The following is a 6,000-nucleotide window of genomic DNA, read 5'->3' as shown; positions in this document are numbered from 1 at the left end:
ACGTGCCTGTGGTCCCAGCTACTGCGACAGAAGAATCACTTGAACCCGGGAGGTGGAGGTTGCAGTGAGCCGTGATCACATCACTGTACTCCAGCCTGGGCGACAGGGCGAGACTCCGTCTCGAAAAAAAAAAAAAAATTAACCAGACATAGTGGTGCAACCCTGTCATCCCATTTACTCAGGAGGTTAAAGTAGGAAGATGATCGCTTGAGTCCAGGAGTTCCAGGCTGCAGTGAGCTATGATGGTGCCACTGCAACAAAGCCTGGGAGACAGATGAGACTCTGTCTCTAAAACAAACAAATATGCACTGCAAATATATTTGTTGTTTGAAGGAAAGAAGCAAAGGGAAAGGAATCATTTGAATTCCTCTTATTTCACAATTCAATCAGTCAGAGTTGAGTTCACCAGGTGGATGAACTGATAAAGTTTTGTAGAGGCAAAACAAAATTCTTTTTTGTGGGGGACGGATTCTGGCTCTGTCACCAGGCTGGAGTGCAGTGGTGCGATCTCTGCTCACTGCAACCTCCGACTCCCTGGTTCAAGTGATTCTCCTGCCTCAGCCTCCTGAGTAGCTGGGATTACAGGCACACGCCACCACACCCGGCTAATTTTTGTATTTTTAGTAGAGATGGGGTTTCACCATGTTGGCCAGGATGGTCTTGATCTCCTGACCTTGTGATCTGCCCGCCTTGGCCTCCCAAAGTGCTGGGATTGCATGCGTGAGCCACCGCACCCGGTGGCAAAACAAAATTCTTAATGTATTTATAAATGTGAATGTGACTTATACAACCGTTATTTATTCAAATGAAACCTTTACCTTCCTATCTGCTTAATTCTATTGAACTCAAAAGCGCCTAGGACTATGGGGGACACAAAGCAAGTGGGAGTGCTAAAAGTTTATAAATATACTGTTAATCGGCTGGGCATGGTGGCTCATGCCTGTAATCCTAGCACTTTGGGAGGCCAAGACAGGTGGCTCACTTGAGATTAGGAGCTCGAAACCAGCCTAGGCAACATGGTGAAACCCCATCTCTACTAAAAATACAAAAAAATTAGCTGGGCGTGGTGGTGGGCGCTTGTAATCCCAGCTACTCGGGAGGCTGAGGCAGGAGAATTGCTTGAACCCGGGAGGCAGAGATTGCAGCAAGCCGAGACTGCACCACTGCACTCCAGCCTGGGCAACACAGCAAGACTCAGTCTCAAAAAAAAAAAAAAAAAAAAAGGTTAATCATGGATAGATTGAGTTACAAAGTTAAAGTGTTTTGTAAAATAGGGGAAAGTGATAAGATTCATTAGTAGGGCTAATTCCTCTGTCAATATCCCAGTCAAAGACCTTAAACCTACAAATCTCCTTATATTCTCTGAGGGTGGGTGCCTAGATTCTACAGACACCAAACCAGATTGTGAAAACACCCCATTCTCTAGACCAGTGCTTCTCAAAATGTAGCCCTTGCACCAGCAAAGGTGGAAATGAAAATTCACAGGCCCTACGCCAGCAAGCCAATAGAATCAGAAACGCAGGAGTTGGAGCCCAGCATCCTGAATGTTCACAAGCCCTCTGATGCTGGATGCTCAAGTTCAAGAATCGCTGTTCCCAGGCCGGATGCGGTGACTCATGCCTGTTATCCCAGCACTTTGGGAGGCTGAGGTGGGTTCAAGACTAGCCTGAACAACATGGCGAAACCCCGTCTCTATTAAAAATACAAAAATTAGCCAGGTGTGATGGCTCGCACCTGTAATCCTAGCCGCTCTGGAGGCTGAGGCAAGAGAATCGCTTGAACCCAGGTGGCAGAGGTTGCAGTGAGCCGAGATTTCTCCACTGTATTCCAGCCTGGGTGAAAGAGTGAGACTACGTTTCAAAAAAAAAAAAAAAAAAAAAGAACCACTGTTCCAGGTTACTCTTTTTCTTTTCTTTTCTTTTTTTTTTTTTGAGACGCAGTCTTGCTCTGTTGCCCAGGCTGGAGTGCAGTGGTGCGATCTCAGCTCACTGCAACCTCTGTCTCCCGGATTCAAGTGATTCTTCTGCCTCAGCCTCCCGAGTAGCTGAGATTACAGACAGGCGCCACCACGCCCAGCTAATTTTTGTATTTTTAGTAAAGATGGGGTTTCACCATGTTGGTCAGGCTGGTCTCAAACTCTTGAGCTCGTGATCCACCCGCCTCGGCCTCCCAAAGTGCTGGGATTACAGACATGCGCCACAGAGCCCGGCCCCAGGTTAGTCGTATCTCTTATGGCCCTCTGCAAGGAAAAGTAGAGTGGAGATGGGGACTACAGAACCTATTCCCATCTCTTTGGGGATCTATATTGTCTATTGGTTTGTTTTGCCATTACCCTAATACGGATGGAACGTAAGGCTCATTAGACAAAACATGAACCAGACCTGTTCCATGGAACTGTGAAGTCAGTTTTCCTTGGCTTTGCTTTTGGTCATTTAAAAAAAAAAAAATTATTGCTTCATGAGACACACTGGTCTCTGAACTTTTCCCTTTTCTAGTAAAAGTACGAATTCCAGCTGGAGCTCTTGACCAACAACATCTTTCTACAGAAGTTGCTGTCTTCGATGCTTTGCTGAGTTCCAGAGATAAGATAAATAATTTACCAAATGTAGGTTTCTGATTACTCACTCTATTAGCATTTAGAGCAGAGAGCTCTGGCCCCTGGGGAGTTTGATTCGTTCAGATGCAGCCCATCTGCTTTTGTTTTTTTGTGGGGAGTTTTTTGGGGGTGGGGTTGCCTGGAAAAGCCAGGGAGCTCCCAGCATCCCACACATACTTCAGGGATGAACTGCCTAAATCTTATGGGTTTTACTGGAAATTCTGGGGAATGCTATTTTCTTATTGTTTAAAAAATACACAGCTGCTAAGGCTCATTTTCCTTTCCTCTCCTCTCTCTCTTTTTTTTTTTTGAGACGGAGTCATGCTCTGTAGCCCAGGCTGGAGTGCAGTGGCACCATCTTGGCTCACTGCAACCTCTGCCTCCCAGGTTCAAGCGATTCTCCTGCCTCAGCCTCCTGAGTAGCTGGGACTACAGGCGCCCGCCACCACGCCCAGCTAATTTTTTGTATTTTTAGTAAAGACAGAGTTTCGCCTTGTTAGCCAGGATGGTCTCAAACTCTTGACCTCATGATCTGCCCCCCTTGGCCTCCCAAAGTGCTGGGATTACAGGCGCGAGCCACCGCACTCGGCCCTCTATCTTTTTTCTTTTTAAAAGATGAGTAAAAACAAAACCCCACAATTTATTTCCAGAGTGTACAAAATATCTGAAAGGGTATTTTCAATCTTGTGCAATTTATTTATCCTAAATTCATGCTGCAGGTTACAAGAGTAATTTCAGGGAATTTTATAAAAGAGATTAACTAGAGTTTCTCCTAAATCAAGTGGCACTGTTTTGGGGGGAAACAGTCTATTATATGAATGCATCACTCTTCACTCATACAATTTCTGAAGTATAGTTTCAATATCGGTAGTGACAGGTGTTACAAAAGGTTTGTATCTGTAGTTATTGTACAAGCTCTTTATGGCAAATATACGTCATTATTATTTTACACCAGTCTTAAAAGTAAACTGGGGTAACAGAAGAAATCACAGCAAAAGACAGCAGATTCTGTGGATGGTCCATTCATTGCAAATGCAGAGAGGAAAAAGTTGTGATAAACCCAAGAAGCCACGTGTTGTACATATATTAAATGCTCTTCTAATTCCTTCAAGATAATCTGATCAACAACTTACTTTATTCCTTTTTAAAATAAAATTAAACTATGTGCCTGGATGATAGAACATAGTGATGAGTGGGTCTTATTTTGGCGATCCTTAAGGAATAGAAATTCCATGTAGTCTCCCATGTAGGATTTTTGTATTTTCTTTTCTTTCCTTTTTTCTTTTTTTTTCCTTTTTTTTTTTTTTTGGTGAGACGGAGATTTACTCTTGTTGCCCAGGCTGGAGTGCAATGGTGCGATCTCAGCTCACCGCATCCTCCGCCTCCCAGGTTCAAGCGATTCTCCTGCCTCAGCCTCCTGAGTAGCTGGGATTACAGGCATGTGTCACCACGCCCGGCTAATTTTGTATTTTTAGTAGAGATGGAGTTTCACCGTGTTGCCCAGGCTGATCTCGAACTCCTGACCTCAGGTGATCTGCCCACCTCAGCCTCCCAAAGTGCTGGGATTACAGGCGTGAGCCACCACACCTGGCCGATTTTTGTATTTTCATGAACTTATTACTATTATTATTATTTTCTTTTGAGACGGAGTCTTGCTCTGTCTCCCAGGCTGGAGTGCACTGGCTCTATCTCAGCTCGCTGCAACCTCCGCCTCCTGGGTTCAAGCGATTCTCCTGCCTCAGCCTCCTGAGTAGCTGAGATTATAGGCATGCGCCACCACGCCTGGCTAATTTTTGTATTTTTAGTAGAGGCAGGGTTTCACCATTCTGGTCAGACTGGTCTCGAACTCCTGACCTCATGATCCGCCCGCTTCAGCCTCCCCAAGTGCTGGGATTACAGGCATGAGCCACTGCGCCTGGCCTTTGTGAACTTTCTTAATGCTAAGCCAGGATTGTACATTTTACTTCCTATGGTGAGCACCCTGTGAATAAGTAAAATAATAACATCTCACCACACACCTGGGTATTGTTTTTCTGTCAGTGATTTAGTAGAAAGTTGATTGTCTCCCAATACCAAGTCACATTAAAAGTCTCTTGCATGGAAGTTGAAAGTTGTGGGTTGGTTTGGGGCATGCCCCTAGCTAAGTAGTGAGCTCCCATACAAAACAATTATGTTAGAACAGAGAATACCACTAAAACGGTAAGAAAGGTAAAGTAAGGACACCAAAGGAATTCCTTGTGCCTCACAGCTCTGGGTCTAAAGCAATTAAAGAGTGAAAGGTGTAAAAATGCTACTTGCTACCTATTTTGTGTTTCTCTAGGAGATTAGCCTACTTTCTTGGCTCATTTTCTTCTTCCTACATCAGCTGGTATAAAAGCTGTGGTAGCTGGCAGCCTCAGATGACTCCATCAGCATCTGTTATCTTAGTTTTGGGCCTCTCAGGGACACACAGAGTAGTTTACCTCTTATTTCTTTTGCCTCCTCCCCACAGCAGGTAAAAAGTCTGCCCCGAGCTTAGACACATTCTCCCTTGTTATAAGAATTTGCTCAACCAAGGATAGTGAGTTAATAGTTGGTGCGCGCACTCTTTCTTCTCTCTTGTCTTCTGACAGATCCAAGAAGCTGGAGTAGTAAATCTGAGAAAAGCTGCATCTAAGTACACACACACACACACACACACACACTCACTCAGAAGGAGAGCTCAGACCCAGCCACTTGCTCTCTGCTTCTGCTTCCCGTATGCTGCATTTTGGAAGGTTTCATATTGCTTCTGCAACAATTTTTTTTTTTTTTTTTTTTTTTTTGGTTAGTTGGATGGCTGAATGAAACACAACCTTCCCTGCAGACATCAAAGCATGTCTCCAGCATAGCAAACTCTCCATCCAGCCTTTCGTCTCTCCGGCTACATTCCAATTTAACCAGGGCTGCCTTGCATGATAATCAGGCCTAATTACCACTTTATCCCTTGATTGTTGTGCTGAGTTTTGGAACTGCAGAGTTCTTTTCTCAGCTTCGGTTCTGCCTTCTCTTACCCTCCCTCCTATTATTTAGCATACCCAGGACTGAGATTTAGCCATTCTAATTAGCAAATAGGTGAAAAGGGCTGGACTGTGCCTTTGGAATATCAGGGCTCTGTCCACTTAGTAAACTTGAATTCCTTTCACAACTGTGGGAAGACCTTGCCATAGACAGGATATTCTGAATACCACGGGAGCTTTAAGAGATTTATTACTAGGTTAAAGAGTGAAACAAAGGCCCTGAGATGATATCCTCATTCCCCAGAGGTATTTTCCTACCTTCTCTCTTACCACACACACAGGCACAAGATCTTTTACAAAATGATGAAACCAGGAAGGAAGGGGGTGTAAACTGGGGCTTTTGGAATCTTTTTTCTAATTCTTTCA

The 6,000-nt window shown here is 44.4% G+C and overlaps 1 annotated feature.

Moving 5' to 3' along the window:
• Positions 5,389–5,906: an enhancer, noted in NCBI's record as "OCT4-NANOG-H3K27ac hESC enhancer chr6:37109113-37109630 (GRCh37/hg19 assembly coordinates)". NCBI's record gives its function as "activates a minimal SCP1, AML or CMV promoter by ChIP-STARR-seq in naive and primed H9 embryonic stem cells {active_cell/tissue: H9 hESC(naive and primed)}" and the evidence as "EXISTENCE:reporter gene assay evidence [ECO:0000049][PMID:30033119]".

This window comes from Homo sapiens, chromosome 6 (assembly GCF_000001405.40).
Source record: "Homo sapiens chromosome 6, GRCh38.p14 Primary Assembly".
Taxonomy (NCBI): domain Eukaryota; kingdom Metazoa; phylum Chordata; class Mammalia; order Primates; family Hominidae; genus Homo; species Homo sapiens.
This window is presented reverse-complemented; position numbering and strand designations above follow the sequence as displayed.